Genomic DNA, 18469 nt, shown 5'->3' with positions numbered 1-18469 from the left:
AGTTCGAGTCCTGGAGCATGAGGATGCAGGCTATGGCCTTGAGAATGGGAAGGGAGGGAAAGTGGGAAGAGATAGTGGCTCTGTGGGTGGGAGGGGTCCGGAGCTGAGATGTACCCCAAGGTCGTGGTTGAAACATGTATGAGTTCACTCAAACATATTCAGCAGGCACTGGGGTGCCCTTGAGGTGGTGGAAAGGGAGATAATGGTTTAACATGAAATGTTTTCCTTAACTACACAGCTAATTCCCATCCACTGGAAAACATTTAGAAAATGCATACAGCAAGTAGAAGTAAAAATGTCCAGTAATCCCATTGCCTAGAAGTAATTGTTGTGAACATTCTGTTGTATGATATTCCCACACCTTTTCTAGGCATGTTTGCAACATTTTTCTTCTCCTGAAAATGCTGTACCTACTGGCTTGAACCTGCTTCTGTTTGAATTTCACTTAGTACCATGAACCTCTCTCTATGACAATAAAGATGCTTATGTAATAAACATTCTTATACAAAACCAATTTAAGTTGCTTTATACACTGTTGTATAGATGCACCATAATTTATTTAAGCAATCTCCTATTGTTGGACATACAGATTTTTTTCTCAATCTCTCCCCTCCCTCCCTCCCTCCGTCCCTCCCTCCCTTCCTTCCTTCCTTATCTTGCTTTGTCACCCAGACTGGAGTGCAATGGCACAACTACTACTCACTGCAGCCTCCGCCTCCCGGGCTCAGGTGATCCTCCCACTTAACCTCCTGAGTACCTGGGACTATAGGCACATGCACCACCTAATTTTTGTATGTGTCGTAGAGACAGGGTTTCGCCATTTTGCCTAGGCTGGTCCCGAGCTCCTGACCTCAGGTGATCCACCCGCCTTGGCCTCCCAATGTGCTGGGATTACAGGCATGAACCTCAATCTTTTTGTTTTGCTTTTATAAACAATGATGCTGGAATCATCTCTGTAGCTAGATGTTTATATACATCGTGAGTTATCTCTTTAGAATAAATTTCTAGAAGTAGAATTGCTGGGTCAAAAGTACCAATGCGTTTAGGCCTTCTGATTCTCCTTTTCAAACAACCCTTCAAAAGTTTTTTTTGTTTGTTTTTTGTTTTTGTGTTTTGAGACAGGGTCTCACTGTCACCCAGGCTAAAGTGCAGTGGCGCAATCACAGCTCACTGCAGCCTTGAACTCTAGGGCTCAAGTGATCCTCCCACCTTGGCCTACTGAGTAGCTGGGACTATAGGTGTGCACCACAACACCGGGCTAATTTTTGTATTTTTTTTTTTTTTTTGGTAGAGATTTTTTTTTCTTTTTCTTTTTTTTTTTTTTTTTAAATCATGTTGGCCAGGCTGGTCTCAAACTCCTGGGCTCAAGTGACTTACCTACTTCAGCCTCCCAAAGTGCTGGGATTACAGGTGTGAGGCATCGTACCCAGCTAAAAGATTTTTATACCTTTACACTCCCATTAGGATTAATAGTTTATATTCTAGTTTTAAAAAACCGTTGCTGGTTGGAGAAAAGTATTTTTCTATTTCTTCAACTTGCACTTGTATTGTAATTTGTATTTTTTTCAGTAATTTTGACCCTTTTAAAATACGTTTTTGATTGTTTGTATTTCTTCTGCTAATTGAGATTCCTATTCATGCACCTTTTCTTCTGTTCCTGCTCATTTTTCTAATTAGAGAATTGTTAAAAACATTTAGTGGGAACCCTTTTCCTACTAAATTAAGGACTTTCATTATTTTTCTGTCATATTTGCCACAAACAAATTTTTGGAGAGAGGATTTTTAAAAAGCAGAGGGCTCATTCTGCACCATATCATTGACTTTCCCATAGAGATGTTTGTATGGTTGTATCAGTTCAGATTAAGTTAAACTGCTAGTAACAGACCCAAGTTAATTTGCTGTGTCCATCAGGGTCCAGTTAGGAGACTGAAACCACACCAGTAATTTGAACAGTAATTAGAAAATGTAATATAATTATCAACTAGGAAAAGGGGGTTGACTACCAAAAGAGGTAAAGGGAACACTAAAGAAAACAAAAATAGCAGATGCAAGGAGCAACTACTAGGGAAGGAGGAAGCCACCCCCACCTCCACCCATCCCGGGCTGAAATTCTGACTTCTTAAGAGAGAGTGGCTATGGCCCACTGGAACTGGGGAGTTCACTGAGATACTGACCAGCAGGGAATTACCCAGTGGAAATTGGCAAAACTCTGGAGGGTTGGTGCCAGTGGTTTTCCTGAACACTGCTGGCAGCCCTTCCCATGGGTGCAAGGTGAGACCACTGGAACCAGGAAGAGCAATCCCCTCTTCTATTTGCGGTATCCTTCCAATGTCTTTTACTGATAAAGCCTAACATGGTGTCAAGTGGTGAAGGAGCAATGTTTACAGGGTCCAGTTCCAGTGTCACAAAGCAAGACAAAGAAGGATAGATTTGGAGCCAAGAGGCAATATATTGGTATCTCAGACATTGGCTTAAACAAGCTAGAAGTCTATTTTTTTCTCACATCAAAATCTGGAGGTCTCCATTCTGGGCTGATATGGCAGTTCTGCTTCAGAAAGTCCTTCAAGATCTAAGATCCAAGCTCCTTCCAGTCTGCCACTCCACTCTCCCTCAGTTGAGGTCCTTGTCCTCATGGTCAAGACGGTATGCAGAGCTCAAATCATCACGGGCATGGTTTGGATATGGAAGGGGTGGAAAAGTAAAAGAGACAAAGAATGTGTGAGAACCAGCTTCTTGGGAGCTGCCATTTGTCACTTGTGCTTCATCTCATTGGACAGAACTTAGTCACTTGGCCACAGACAGCTATTTGGGAGTCTGGAAAAGCTTTATTTTGGAGGACCTGGAGCTAAAAATCAGGGGTTCTCTTAAAATGGAAGAAGGGAGAGAAGTATTGGTGGACAATGAGCAATCTCTGCCACAATAAGCTAAACTGGCTGGACCTTTATGAGGAAAATGTAGTCAAAATGGCAACAGGCCCACTACCATGACTGAAAGTTATCCAGCTACACCAAGCAAGATCTTTGAGTCAAATCTTCTAGAATGTTAAAGCTGGAAGGAATCTTAAGGATTATTTATTCTAAGCTTTTAATATTTCCCGTGAGAACCCTGAAGGCCTGGGAGGGGCAGTAACTTGTCCAAGGCCATCTGAATAGCTCTTGGCATGGCCGTAGGTGGATCCCAGTCCTCCTTCCCTCTCCGCCTAGCGTGTCTTTCCATCCTCTGCGACTTAGGGTCTCCCATGGCCATTGTCTTCAGAATGAGTCCTGCATAATTAAATTGCAACTTATGGCTCTGCAAAAGATCATTTCACAGTGAAGCTATTAGGGCTTATGAGATGTGCCTGGTCCTCAAATCAAGCACATAAGATGTAAAATTAGAGCCCAAGAAGCTTTGGGTTATTAGGACCTAAACTGCATCCTCTCTCCATTACCTAATGGAGCCCGTGTGAGCTCATGCTGTGGGAACGCAGCAGGCATGAGATAGCAGTAAGTCATATTCTGCCCAATTAAGCAGTGAAAGGTGTTGGCATAGGCCAAAGTAGTCATCCCTATTACCAGCCAGAATCCCATCTTCCTATTTGGCTATGGAAATAATGGAAAGATTTTCTTAGCAAAGCTCTATAAGTCAGAGTCCCAGCAGGAAACAAAATTTATCCCAGATGTTTCAGATGAAGAGACCTTCACGAAGGGGCCAATTAGAGATGCAGGGTTAAGGGAACAAACAGGAGAGGTGAGACACACAGAGATGAGCCCATTATCCCTGTGGTGAGGGGCAGGGGAGGGAGCAGTGCTACTGGAGCTGGAACTGGGTAGGAGGGGAAGTTGCGGAGGGATGTGTCTATGGCTAGACCTGTAGCATCTAGCAGGGAAGAAATGCACAGCCTCTCTCCTCTTCCCTAGGGTCTGCCAAGATCTCTTCCTGGTTGAAAGCAACCAGAAGCTGGAGGAAACCCGAGGGGAAACTGGAGGATGCCGTCCACAGAAGCACGCTTCCTGGACACAGAGCAGAGTGGAGAGGGTGAAGAATAAGTGTACAAAGTATAACGTTAGTCGTAGTTCAGGCCTTGCCCCAGCTATTACCTGGACTGAAATATTTTTAGTATCTGTATTTTTTTGTTGTTGCTGTTGTTTTGTTTTGTTTTTGTTTTTTGAGACAGAGTCTCATTCTGTTGCCCAGACTGGAGTGCGATCTTAGCTTACTGCAACCTCTGCCTCACAGGTTCAAGCAATTCTCCTGCCTCAGCTTCCCGAGTAGCTGGGATTACAGGCGTGCACCACAACGCTGGGCTAATTTTTGTATTTTTTTTTTTTTTAGCAGAGACAGGGTTTCGCTATGTTTCCCAGGCTAGTTTTAAACTCCTGATCTCAAGTGATCCACTGGCCTTGGCCTCCCAAAGTGCTGGGATTACAGGCATGAGCCACTGCACCCGGCCATTTTTAGTATCCTTACAATGTAATATGTGAATGGCAAATGTGTGGCACAGGCAACCCCCTCCCCACTCCACACCTCCTGCTAATGGCAGATATTACTAATTGATCGTGGCTCTCTTTCCTATGGGTCCAAGAAGTCACCTTACAGTGCTCAAAGAAGCACCACCCATTGAGTGGGGTGGCATGTGAGATGAAACCTATTTGGAGCTGTAAAACTTAAACAGCCTTGCAGATATGGCCGGCCTGCCCAAACCAATCTTGTGGCTAATTTTTCTTTTTTGGAAATTAGCTGAGCAGGTGTGTTTGTTGATTCAACTGAGCCCTGCTGGGAAAGCCAAGCTGTGACATTTCTGTAATGTATTGATGCAACCATATTATGATATAGATGAGGAGGCGAGGCAGGAGACTGTATCTGCTTTAAGCAAGGTGGTCGCCAGCCCAGGTACCAGCCAGACCCCCTTGGCTCATCTGTCAAGTAGGATGATGCCAGCCAAGGCAGAGGGCAGGGCTGTGTGTTCTCTTGAGAAGCAGTCAGCTTTCAGAGCGGCTGTGGAGGACCTAGCTGTGTAGGGCGCTCTCCTAGGTCCTGACTGACCTTTAACATGGAGAGTTAGAAAATGGAAAACCCTTAGCTGGAACAAATGGGTAATGGATTATGAATGTTACCAGCATGCTGTAGGGCATAGGTGGCAAATAGGTCTCAACTCATGCACCATTTCTGTCCATTTCTGTTGACCCTCTGTAACACTGTGTTGAGATGGATTCAGAGACTGTGTCCAGGCTCAATGGACAGGAGAGCTGTGATCAATTAGGAATATCTATCCTGAGCAAGAGTGGGTAAGGGGAGGCACATGCTTGTCTCTTATTTGCCTTTTCTGGTGTAGGAAAAGCCCATGGTTGGGAGTCCCAGACATGGCTTCTAGATGCAATATTTTAAGCAAGTCATTTGACCTTCTTGGACCCCAGTTTCCTCATATGGAAAACAAGGACATTGCTTAGATGACTTTCAAATTCTCTGTCTTAGAAATTCTTCAGTTTTAAAGTTTTCCAAGTCTTCAATGTAAAACTTGCACCAAATCTGTTTGATCCCATTAAAACATTTACATCTCTCCACTCCTCTCTGCCGTATGCTTGAGCAACTGAGCCATCTATTCCTGGAGAAGGCCATCTCCCCAGGCAGGAGCAGCTGGGGACCCTGGAGACAGGAGGCTTCTCATACTAAACAGACCCTACCCTTTAATCTCAACCAAAAGATCCAGGAGGCGTGATTCACATCTCGCCTGTTTCCTCTCCTCCAAGAGCCCGAACCTCTCCCCTCCTGTTCTGCAAACGCGCCTGAATGCAGAGTCCTGAAATTTAGGGTCATGGTTTCAAAGTTCATGGTCCTGAGAATAAACAAAAAAACTATTGTGGTTGCATAGAGCTGTAGACCCCATTAACACCATCCCATGAATATTTATAGCGTGGAACTACAAAAGAACATAGAGGCCATATTGTATTTCCTAGAACTTTCTTTCTAGGGGTCCTTTCTCTGTGGGTCACTTTAATGTAAGCTTTGCTTATTTAGTTGCACACTTTAAGCCGATTAACTTTTTACTAAAAAAACCCTCCCTGTTTGTTTGTACATACACTCCCTTGACAAAGATTCACAGAAAACTGCTTTAAACCTGTTAAATCCCTCCGCTGGAAACTTGCAATGAACTAAATGCATCTGTGGGTAGGATTTCCCTGTAACGCTCCCCGCCTCTGGCCCCTCCACCCCACCTCAGCCTGTTTCCTGAGAGGAATTCCAATGGTTTGAATTCTACATATTTAGTTCCTCCAATAACCTGGGCTTATCTCTAGGTGACTATCTTATGGAACATCTATGAAGTCTTCCTCACTTCCTGAGTGAGGAAGTTATTGGAGTGGCTTGTTATTGGAGTGGACAAACAGCAGGCCCCAAGCAAATACCCTATGTTTCTCTAAAAGAAAATGTAGTGAAATCAAACGTAAGGTCAGTGACCATGGACTCCATTGGTTTCCAAACTGCAGTGTCCATGTGAGTCACCTGAGTGGGTGGGGCAGGGCATGAATTAAAGTGCGTATTCCTGGGTGCTGACTTCAGAGATTCTGATTTCATAGATCTGGGTTGGGGCCTGGGGATCCGCATGTCAACACTCTCCTTTGACACTTCTGATGTAAGTGGTTTGTGGGCCATGCCTCCAGAAACACTGAGCTGGTTCAGCTGTCTCATTGTGTGAGAGAAGAAAACGCTTCAAAGGGGAAGCACACAGCTTCCAGTACAGACTGTGGAGATGCAGACCTCGTCTCTTCCCCCGTGTAGACCATGCTTCATGTCCCAAGATACAGAGCCACTGCAGAATATTTGTGATTAGGTCCACGGGTAGGAAGCTGACTGAACAATAAACCATGCCTTAGTGTAGCCCTGAGGTCTAAGTGTAGAAATGAAAATCAGGAAGTGTCCTGGTTGATGAAGGTGAGATGAGGTAAGGTGGGCCTGCAGGCCACTCTCCTCGGATAAAACCCGGGTGTTTGTTGGTTTGGAGCAAGCCCTGGGGCAGGGCAGGGCATATGGCCAGGATGGACCAGGAAGGTCAGGGGGCTGCCCTGGGCCTGCCATTCTCTGAGAGCCAGGGAACAGAGTCTTGGGGATAGTGCAGTTGGTGATAGGAGGTGGCAGCGGAGTGGAGGGGTCTCCCTCTGACTGGCTGGCTGCTGCCTGGCTCGAAGTCTCCCCAGCTCTGCAGACCCCAACTCAGGGGCCGTTCACCACCCCTAAAATCCCCCCACCAGACTCTTGGAATCTTCAGTGCGGAGGGGTGTGAGGACTCCTCCAGGCCCAACCCCTCCTGCACTCTGTCCCTTGAAAGCAGCCGCCCGGGCTGTCCCCGGCTGGCCAGGCTGGTGGCTCCTCTGTTGGCAGAGCACTTCCTGCTGACCCTGAGGTCAGTCCTCACCTTGAATCCCAATGCTGGGACCAGCATCCTGTGCAGGGCAGTGAACCGAGCTCTGAGTCTTGGAGCCAAAAGGTCTGAGTTCAAGCCCTGTCCCCTTCTTACGGATTGTCAACTTGGGCTAGTCGTTAACTTTCTGAAGTCTCACTTTCCCCCATAAGATTGGGCTGGTGGCCTTCCTGCCTTCTTCTAGGCCTTCTGCAAGGAGGTATTTGTTCACTCACGGATTCGGGGATGAGAATGTTCTGAAGGTCAGTGCCAGGCCCTGCGCTGGATGCTGGTGTTTTGGGTGTGGGGGGTGTTTGCAGGAGAGGAGGATGTGTGCATGGAAGGGGTAGCATACTGTAAAGTGCTATACCAGAATGAGGGACTCCTGATTACCCTCTCCACCCTGGGTGCTCTAACAGCCTCAGGATCCCGTTCCCCAATTCTCAGCCTCCCTTTTTGCCCATGCTGAGCCTCTCAGATCCCCTGGCCTCCTGTCCTGCCTTACCCTCACTGTCTACAGCAGTCCGCATGGCTGGGCCCCCCACTCCAGCTGGCTTGCCCTCACTGCACCCCTCCTGCTCCTGCCCTGACAGTGCCTTGCTCTTTCTCACCCCAGGGCCTTTGCACATGCTGTCCCTTTAGCCAGCATGCCCTTTCCTCTTGTTATCCACCTGCCAAACTGCAGCTCACTCATCATCCTCCCACTCATCCCCTTTGTGAGGCTTTCCTGATTCTACATTTCCAAGGCTGTAAGTTAGTCATTCCTCCTCTCCATGCTTCCATCTTACAAAGGGAGCCAAAGACGCATGGCAGTTAAGAGTTAGAATTGAGAGGGGGCCTGGAGGAAGTTGCCTAAATCTCTCTGTGCCTACAGTCCTCACCTGACACTGGGTATGATGATGCACATTGCACGGGTTTGCTGTCCTGAGGGCTAGAGGAGCGAGAGGAGCCTGCACGGTGTGGGTGCTGCAGAACCATCAGTCCCTTTCTCTTCAGTGCACTGGTCCTGAGAGGAGATCTAAAACACCAGATTTGGAAGAAATAGAGATTGGTGTTCAAAGATCAATGGGGACGTGATGGAAGGGCGTGAGCTCCCTGTCTCTGGATAGAGTGTTGGACCCAGTGACCTGTATGGCCCCTTCAAGTCCTAGAAGTTTGTCATTCCTGGAGGACTGTGGAGCAGTGCAACAGTCTCCAAAATGTGTTCCTTAGGTCAGGAGACCCAGTGAAAGGAGATCTCAGAAGCAACTATGTTGGGAAATGCCGCATTCCCAGTCTTTCTCTTGGAGAGCCGTGATATTTGTTAGAATTGTAAAGGGTCTGGGAAGTCCTGCGGTAAAGAAGGTGGTTTAACAGCATTTCTTAGTAACTTTTAGAATGTGGAACTTTGGGGAGAATTGGATAAGAGATCTGATTTTTGTTTGTTTGTTTAAGACGGAGTTTTGCTCTTGTTGCCCAGGCTGGAGTGCATTGGAGCGATCTTGGCTCACTGCAACCTCTGCCTCCTGGGTTCAAGCAATTTTACTGCCTCAGCCTCCCGAATAGCTGGGATTACAGGTGCCCGCCACCATGCCCAGCTAATTTTAGTATTTTTAGTAGAGACGGGTTTTCACCATGTTGGTCAGGCTGGTCTCAAACCCCTGACCTCAGGTGACCCACCCACCTCGGCCTCCCAAAGTGCTGGGATTAGAGGCGTGAGCCACGGCGCCTAGCAGGGATCTGATTTTGGAATTAGAGAGACTTGTATTGACTCAGAAAACCTGTGCAGCTTCTTCCTGCCTGCATGACCTTGGCCAATTCCTACCTCCCTCATGGCCTTTTTTTTTTTTTTCCTCTCCCTTCTATAGAAAGGGGACAAAATGGCCTCCTCTTGAAACTGGTGAGAGGACGGATTGTGGTAATATGTAGAGGGCATTCGGCCTGGTCCCAGGGACACAGTGAGTGCTGCTTGCTTCTGCTGTCAATGGAGAAAAGATAGCCAGGGCAAGATCTGTGCTGTGCAAATCCTGGGTGGGAGCTGCAGAGATGAGCCTTGCCCTGCAAGGCTCAGATCATGGTTATCTTTTGCAGCCCCCAAAATCAGGCACACACATGGCATCAGATGGGGAACATAACAGAACTTCAGAAACTGTGAGGTACTTTACAGGTACTTACTGTCATTACTGCAGTGGCCCGGAGCTGGCTGTTACCTCCTTGCGACGCCCAACTGTGCACATCTTTTCCCAACTCCATGTTCAGTGACCTGAAATCAGCCACAGTGGGAGCATTTACACAGGGAAATCAGCAAACACCACAAACCAAGGCTCTCCCCTACCCCAGCCAATTGTTAAATAGCAGCACACCACTGACGGATTAGATATCATTAGAAAGCGTGTCTTTAAAGCTAGACCTTTTACATTTCCAAATTTATTACATAACAGCTTTAAAACTGTATTTGACTAATTTATAAAGATTTCAATTTTTGATTTCCAAAAAACATTTTTCCTATTGCACTTCATAATCTATTCCTGAAACATTTACTAGCCAGAGCTTCATAAGGAAACACTACCACCTGGTGATGAGTCCCTCAGTTGCAGGTTGAAGGTCTAGTGGGGTCAGTCAAGACTGGAGCTGAGGGCATTTTCGTGGATGTGCTTTTTTTCTTTTCTTTTCTTTTCTTTTTTTTTTTTTTTTGAGACAGAGTTTTGCTCTTGTTGCTCAGGCTAGAGTGCAATGGTGCAATCTCAGCTCACTGCAACCTCCGCCTCCTGGATTCAAGCGATTTTCCTGCCTCAGCCTCCCGAGTAGCCAGGATTACAGATGCCCGCCACCACGCCCAGCTAATTTTTTGTATTTTTAGTAGAGATGGGGTTTCACCGTTTTGGCCAGGCTGGTCTTGAACTCCTAACCTCAGGCGATCCGCCTGCCCCAGCCTCCCAAAGTTCTAGGATTATAGGCGAAAGCCACCGCGCCCAGCCGGATGTGCATTTTAAATGCTTCCTGCGGCCCATATGTTCAAGCTCTACATCTCTGTGAGGAATTGCCCTGCCTACCCTCTTCACTACAGCCATGTCGAACACAGAGAGGTGGAGGGGAGCCCATGACCCCAGGGTCATAGTTGGAAACAGAGTCCCTGGTGCCTTCGGTCAGTGCTTCTCAAACTCCAGGGTGCACCCGATTTCCTTGAGGGATGTTGTTAACATGCAGATTTTGACTGAGCAGGTCTGAGGTGGGCTCTGAAATTCTGTATTTCTGTTGAGCTCCAAGATAATGTTGATGCTGCTGGTCTATGGATTACACCTTGAATAGCTGGGATTGGTAGTGGAAGAGGTGATGGGAATACTTTGAAAGTCTTCTCTTTGCCTTTCAGTAAGAATTCAATAGCTTTGTGTGTCGAATCCATAGACATAACTCATTTGCTTCTAAGTATAGTTCAGTCCACTTGTTGATTTAATTTTTTATTTATTTGAAATTAATTTTGGTGTATAGTATAAGGTTCAAAGCCAACTGACTTTTCCTCAAATAGCTAACCCATTTGCTTCAACGTCATTCATTGCTTAGTTCCCTACTTTTCACAAATGTGCAAGACCTGTTTTATCCTATGTAAGTTTTCTTAGATAAAACCTAAGGGCTGCTTTCAAACGATTCTACATTGCAGGCTGTCTAATGAAGCCAGTCCTCCTTTGGTACTCTTTTTCTCCGCTGTTCTCACCTGATTGTGCAGATTAACATTAATATCATCTTGCCAGTAATAAAAAAAATTGGGATTTTGATTGAAGTGTATTAAACGCACACATTCATTTGGAAAGAGTTAACGGTTCTTTACTATAGTCTTTCTTACCAGAAACATGTCTCGTCAGTCACTTTTTATAGCTTTTAGTAGAATTTTACATTTCCTGACTTAGTAACACATTTTTGTCATCAAGGTTGTTCCTAGCTATATTATTTTAATTTTTTTCCAATTGTTTTTATTTTTTTTTGAGACAGAGTCTCACTCTGTCACCCAGGCTGGAGTGCAGTGGTGCAAATCTCAGGTCACTGTAACCTCCACCTCCTGGGTTCAAGTGATTCTCCTGCCTCAGCCTCCCAAGTAGCTGGGACTACAGGCGCGCACAACCACGCCTGGCTAATTTTTGTATTTTTAGTAGAGACAGGTGTCACCATGTTGGCCAGGCTGGTCTCGAACTCCTGACCTCACGTAATCCACCTGCCTTGGCCTCCCAAAGTGCTAGGATTACAGGCGTGAGCCACTGCACCCGGCTGAGATATGTTATTTTGAATAGAATTTTTACATTATTTTATTTTATAAGTAACATATAGTTGTTTGTATTGTATCATTTACAATTTGTATTATTTATGTTATGCTTATATATAGCTAGCCACATGTGGCAATTTAAACTTAAATTAATTAAAAGGAAATAAAATGTAAAATTCAGTTCCTCAATCATATAATCACATTTCAGTGCCCAATAACCACATGTGGTTAGCGGGTACCATGTTGATGGGATCGCTTTCTTTCTTTCTCTCTCTCTCTCTTTCTTCTTTCTTTCGACAAGGTTTTGCTCTGTTGCCCAGGCTGGAGTGGACTGACACCATCATGGCTCACTGCAGCCTCAACCTCCCGGATTCAAGTGATCCTCCTGCCTCAGCCTCCCATGTACCTGGGGCCACTGGTGTGTGCCACCATGCCCAGCTAATGTTTTGATTTTTTGGTAGAGACAGGGGTCTCACGTTGTTGCCCAGGCTGGTCTCAAACTCCCGTGCTCAGGTGATGTTCCCACCTTGGCCTCCCAAAGTGCTGGGATTACAGGTGAGCCACTGCACCTGGCTTGGGATCACTTCAGTTTATTCTTTTAGGTTATCTAGGAGAGCAGCTGCTTTGATACCAAACTCCTGGTTTCTCTCCTGCAGCAGCATTACCCTGATTTCCTTCTTAATGAGGAAGGCAAGGATGGCAAATGTGTGCCATGAGGGTTGCCCTATGCACTCATGCCCATGGCACACATCACAATTAGTCACAGCGCTCTTTGCTGTTCCTGGGCTATGTTGGTTTTGAACTTACCCCTTAGTGCCCTGCTCTTCTCTCTGAAGACACACATTTCATGTAATGGAAGGACCTCTGCTATGAAGAACGCATTGTGTCAGGAGTCTAGGTTCCCACAGCAGCCTTTGGTTTATTTAGAGTATCAAGGGCAGTTTCTTCTTCCTTCCACGCAGGGGTTTCCATCCTTGGCTCCCAGATACATGTGGGCCCTGCTGGTTCAGACACCATTGTTATGAGTGGTCCTGGACTTGAGTCTTCACTCTGCCAAATGACTCACTATGTGACCTTGAATGAATCACTCAGACCCCCTGCAGAACATGCTGCTGTCTATGGAAGGCGGTGGTGGCTTGGAGACTCCAGCTGACATTCTGGACCTGTGTTCTGGGGTGCAGCCACTCTTGCTTGAAGGCTGTATCTGTGAGCCTAAGGGGCAGCGCTGACTCATGCTATGGGCTGTGTCCCCTCTGAGTGAAGGGCACGTGGCCTTCTTGGACTGTCTTTGATCCACAGGAACTGTCCATGGGATCCTGGGGCAAGATCTGTAGAACACAAGGGAAGAGTCTGCAGGACCGCAGTGTGGGAGCCCGGGCTGGCGTGGGAAGGGGCTCTCTGGGCCTTGAGGTGGGCTAGGATCCAGTCCCACACCATGGGGGCTTCCCGCAGGTGCTGCGGAAGGGCCAGGCCATGCCCTCTTGCAGCTGTTGTCGGTAAGGGCTGCCCTGGGCTGGGCACGCAAGCGCTAAGTCAGTGCCTCCCAAAGGGATCAAACCTGTAAAAACGTCTCTTAGCTCACTACACATCACACTGATGTGGGCCATGGCCGGTGACCTCAGTGCCTGCAGGGTGCAGCTCCTCCATCTCATATTTGCTGAGTGGGGCCTGGTGCCAGTTCTGTGCTGAGCATGGATCCGCATTATCTCAGCTGATGCTCGCAACAACCCCATGTGGAAGATATTATGACTCTTTATTCACACTTGGAAGATGAAGAAACTGAGGCTTAGAGAGGTAAAGTTATTTGTCCAAGGCTTCCCAGGCAGGACGTGAGCTGGGGGCTATCTGATTCGGTTCCTTCACCGTCAGCCACTGGGCCCATACTGCACCGTGTGATGACTTTCCTTGGCGAGTATAAAATGGGATTTCACAAGTGAAATGTACATGGGAGCCTGTTGTCATGGCGTTTAGACTCTGGCACAATCTGGGAAGTTGAGTAGATGCTAAGAGCTTAGGAAGCCGCTGCGGGACTGGGAAGAACCCTGGCTTGGGGGTTCTGGCTCTGCTGCTTGCTGGCCCTGTGACCCCAGGCGAGTCATTCTCTTTTCTGAGTCTCAGGTTCTTAATCGGTAAAAGTGGAACGAGACCAATATGCGTTGATGCAAAAACTAAAAGAAGCGATGCCTGTGTACAATCCAGTGTTAACTGTAAAGCATTACAGAGAACATGATCTCCTCTCCCTCCCCCAACTCCACCTACTTCAACCCCCACCCCTACCCCTGCCAATGCCTGGCGTGTGCTGCCTCAGTAAGTGTTAGATGAGTATAGCAGCATGATTTAGCCCCCGCTGTCTGGTTAATATTGTCTGGTTGAGACCATTTGTCCTAAAGGAATACAGAGAAAGGAAAGAGTGTGTCGGGGTGGGAGGGCAAATAGTGGTGATGGAAGCTGAGTTGAGTTTTGCAGGGTGGGGTCTTCTGGATGAGGACAGGTGGGGGAGGGAGAGAGACAGGAACCAGGAGGAGCAAAGTGGAGGTTGGAGAGGTACCACTCTTCACTGCATGCTTGCCACAGGCCAGGCCTGGCACTGGCTGCTTAACAGACCTCATGTTGTTTAATTCTCACACACTTCTACCAGGTAGGCACCTCTATTTCCAGATGAGGAAACCATGGCTCAGAGAGACCAAGTGAGTTACCCGAGGTCACACAGCTCTTCAGTGATGGCACTGGGATTGGAACCCAGGTCTTTCTGGCTTAAAAGTACATGCTTTTAATGAGCCTGCCTCCCCAGGTGAACAATACGAAGACTGCAGGCAGAAAGTGCCTTCGTAAAGGATTTCCCTGCAAGGGAATCAGCCTGGGGCTCCCACCCTTTGGTGTCAGGAGGACGCCTGAGCACTGGACATGAGGAGATGGAGACGAAGCCAGCTGAGCAGGCCCAGGGGACAGTGTGGGAGGAGTTTCCCAGCAGCCCTGTGACTTTGGGAAGGGGCTGCTGCAGAGCGGCCCCCGCTGCTCTGCCCTGCTTGGCCCCTCTGCCATGCTCCGCCTTCAAACTGTGGTGTGCAGGGGCATTGGACTTCCCAGGGGTGCTCTCTACAGATGGTTCAAGGGAGTGAACTTCCAGGTTCTGAAGCATGCATCTGGGATTCTATACTAAGACAGCAGGAGGATGCTGGGCACGTGGCCCTTCCTGCACTTCATGGGAGAGAGGCTTACCTGTCACCCATCTGGAATCCCACTGTGTACAAAACCCCCGAGTGTCAAAGGAAAAATGAGAAATGGTTGGTTATAGAGCAGCCTTCTTCGATGAGGAGCCAGAGTGTCTTAGACCTGCAGCTCTTCTGTCTCTTCTCATCTATAGGAATTTCTATTAAGGGAAATGCTTGGGGCAGGGAGGAATATTTTGATTTCAGAACAACTGAAGTAGGGTAGTTAATGATAGTGATTCTCTTAAGTATAACTAGAATGCTCCCTGGACCTCTAAATTTTTCAAACTATATGGATAAAACCCAGGATGAACATTTTTCTTGTTTTCTTTTGGTTTCAGCATGCTATTCCAAAAGGTAGTTAAACCTATTTTACCAAACCATATCATGAAACATTTATTCCACGTATAGTCAATCCTCGTCTTATAAAATACTTATTATTTTCTTTTCATGAGCAAAATAAGTATTTAAACTTATCGTGAAAAATCTGAAGTGTCAGGCTAACAAAGGGATATGTAGCTTTTCAAAATGATTCAGGAACATGTGAGCACAGAAGTTGGAAGACCACTATGTAACTTCCTTGGCTTGGGTGGTTTTCCCAGTGCCCGTTCATCTGTTCCCTTCTCCCACCCCCTGCTTCTCTCTTTCTTCTCTTAGAATGTTTGAGAAGTATTCCTGATTGCCTGCCATTGCCATTGCCATAATTGACATCGGACACTTTTTCTTTGGGGGAAAAATGGCGCTGCACCGTGGACTGTCTTGTGCCAAATCTTCAGGGAAGTGGGAAACCGAAGGGCTCAGCGCAGGCAGCCGGAAACCATCTTTGACCAAACCAACCTTGTCACACATTTCAAGGGAGTTCTAGATGACAGTCAGATTTCAAGGAATTGTCAGATAGACTTCCTTGTACAAAGTTTGGGTCCCCAAGAAAAGCTTTAAATTGAGAGACAGTTATTGTATTCAGTCAACACTTTTTATTTTCTAATTTTTTATTCTAGCCATCCAAATGGCTGTGAAGTGGTACTTCATTGTGGTTTTGATTTGCATTTCCCTAATGACTGATGCTTTTGAGCATCTTTTCATGTGTTGGCCATTTATATCTTTTCCTTACAGATGTGTTTTTTCAAATCCTTTGCTTAGTTTTAATTGGGTTGCCTTTTTGTTGTTGAATTGTAAGAGTTCATTTTATATTCTGGATTCTAGGCTCTTATAAGATATATGACTTGCACAAATTTTCTCCCATTCTGTAATTTGTCTTTTCACTTTCTTGATAATGTCCTCCTTTTCTGATAATGTCACAATGCACAAAAATTTATAAATTTGATTAAATCTAATTTATTTATTTTTTCTTTTGTTGCTCATGCTTTTGATGTTATATCTACGCCATTGCCAAATCAAGATAATGAAGATTTATGCTGATGTTTCCTCCTAATAGTTTTTTGGTTTTAGCTCCTACATTTAGGTCATTGATTCACTTGGAGTTAAATTTTGTATATGGCTTGAAGTAGGAATTCAACTTTATTCTTTTGCACATTTGTTTCTTTTAAAAGCCTCTGGTGGCTTGTGGCTAAATAAAAAAGGGAGATGGAGATCTGGGAAACTCCGACCTAGAAATATAAAAATGAATGCTGTGAGGAGCATGAGTCTCAATTCATAGATTTCACAATATGGACAGCGTGGATGGATGACATGGGTTTCAAAGTTTCGAAAGCTATATTTGACCTCTGTGGGGAAATCGCCTACTATGTGCCAAGAACAGGGAGAAGCATGAGGCAGTTTATAGATTTTGTAATATGGACAGCTTGGATGGATTACTTGGGTTTCAAATTTCAAATTATATTTGATCTCTGCAGGGAAAGCATCTATGTGTCGAGTACAGGGCTTGGTTCTTCATTGCTCCATAAATTTTATTTTTCTTCCTTCAATAGATTGCATCTACTGAAGAAAGATTATATCTATTGAAGAAAAAAAAGAAAGCCATGGTGTGTGTGTGTGTGTGTGTGTGTGTGTGTGTGTGTGTGTACTTATGTGTACATGATCTCATTTAATTTTCTCAACAGGTTTCCAGAATAGGCAATATTATCTCTATAGATGAATCATTTGTGGCTCAGTGAGGTTGAGTAATATGTGCGAGGTTGCCAAAGCCAGAATATGAATACAGATCATTTTGCAAAGGCTGTATGTGTCAATCATTATAATCTAGATTATGATACAGGAATAAATAATCCTTAAGTATCCATGCTTTATAACCACAGAAGTTTTTGTCTCATGTTACATGTTCAGCCTGGATCATATCATCTTCACTCTATGTCTCAGCCTGATAGAGCGGGCTGTTTCCGGAATATCCTTTGTCTTATGGCTTTGGGAAAAGAGAACATGGCAAACCATGTGCTGGGTCTTACAGGTTCTGCTTGGAAGTGACACATGTCACTTCCCCTCACTTTCATTAGCCAGAAAAAAATCATGGTGGGCCAGGCGAAGTGGCTCATGCCTATAATCCCAGCACTTTGGGAGGCCGAGGCAGGAGGATGACTTGAGGTCAGGAGTTACAGACCAGCCTGGCCAACATGGTGAAACCCCATCTCTACTAAAAATACAAAAATATTAGCCAGCATGGTGGCGCATGCCTGTAATCCCAGCTACATGGGAGGTAGAGGAACGAGAATCGCTTGAATCTGGGAGGCAGAGATTACAGTGAGCTGAGATCGTGCCACTGCACTCCAGCCTGGGCAACAGAGAGAGACTCCATCTCAAAGAATAAATAAATAAAATAAATCACATGGTGAAGCCTGACATCTGAGAGAGGGGGAAGTATAATTTGTACCCAGGAGAAGCAGCAAAAATGATGAACAATAATAGACTCTGTCACAGGCCTCCTCCCCTCTTGTAACAAATACTTGCTTTCCTTCTCCTCCCGTATATACAACATACTTACCTTTCCCCAAAGTCCTGTCCAGTCATGGTACCAGGCTCCAAGTCCAAGATCTTGTGATCATCTCTATACTAAGTCAGGATGTGACTCCTCTTCATCCAAAGACTAGTGAACTTTAAAACAATCATATACTTCCCCACCCCACCACCAAAATACATACTCAATATACCATGATAGATAAGGGACAGGATAACCATAACAAACACTTCCATTTGGAAAGAGGAAGACTGGGAGGCACAACAGTCACTGATCCATAACAGTTCTGAAATCAGGCTGGACACATGTTGCAAGAGGCGCCTAGGATGGGGAACGTTCCTTCATGAGGCCCTGATGCCACCTCCTGCCAGTAGCTCTCCATTCATTTTCCCTGTGTGGCTTTGAGCTCCACACTCTGGGAGGTCCTGCCCTTCCTTTTCCCTTATTCTTAGCCACATCTGGAGAGGGCATCAGAGAATATGCCCTTCATGGGGGCAGCTTTTTCAGCCTGTTTCTTTCCCATACAAGGATGGAGGCCCAAGGGTCATTTTGTGTCATTTTAAGTGTCAAACATTAGCAGCCTCTTATAGGCCATGCTAATGACTTTTTTTGGTCCTACGCTTTTCTACAACATTAATCATCTTCTTATCTGTTTGGTTCAGCTGTGTGTGCCATAGCCACATACAGTTATTTTCTAAACATGTCTATCTCTCTCCAGACTTAATTATTGCTACCTTGCACTT

At 45.8% G+C, this 18469-nt stretch overlaps 1 protein-coding gene across 1 annotated transcript in view, besides 1 other annotated feature; it reads left to right on the top strand.

Moving 5' to 3' along the window:
* TLL2 (tolloid like 2) overlaps positions 1 to 18469 on the top strand; it is a 149319-nt gene that overhangs the window by 12496 nt on the left and 118354 nt on the right. The gene's annotated exons all lie outside the window — the stretch shown is intronic.
* Positions 14096 to 14595: an enhancer, noted in NCBI's record as "H3K4me1 hESC enhancer chr10:98246593-98247092 (GRCh37/hg19 assembly coordinates)". NCBI's record gives its function as "activates a minimal SCP1, AML or CMV promoter by ChIP-STARR-seq in naive H9 embryonic stem cells {active_cell/tissue: H9 hESC(naive)}" and the evidence as "EXISTENCE:reporter gene assay evidence [ECO:0000049][PMID:30033119]".

The sequence above is a fragment of the Homo sapiens genome, chromosome 10 (genome assembly GCF_000001405.40).
Source record: "Homo sapiens chromosome 10, GRCh38.p14 Primary Assembly".
NCBI classification, from domain to species: domain Eukaryota; kingdom Metazoa; phylum Chordata; class Mammalia; order Primates; family Hominidae; genus Homo; species Homo sapiens.
The sequence above is the reverse complement of the archived record's forward strand: the minus strand, read 5'-3'. Positions and strand labels throughout refer to the sequence as shown.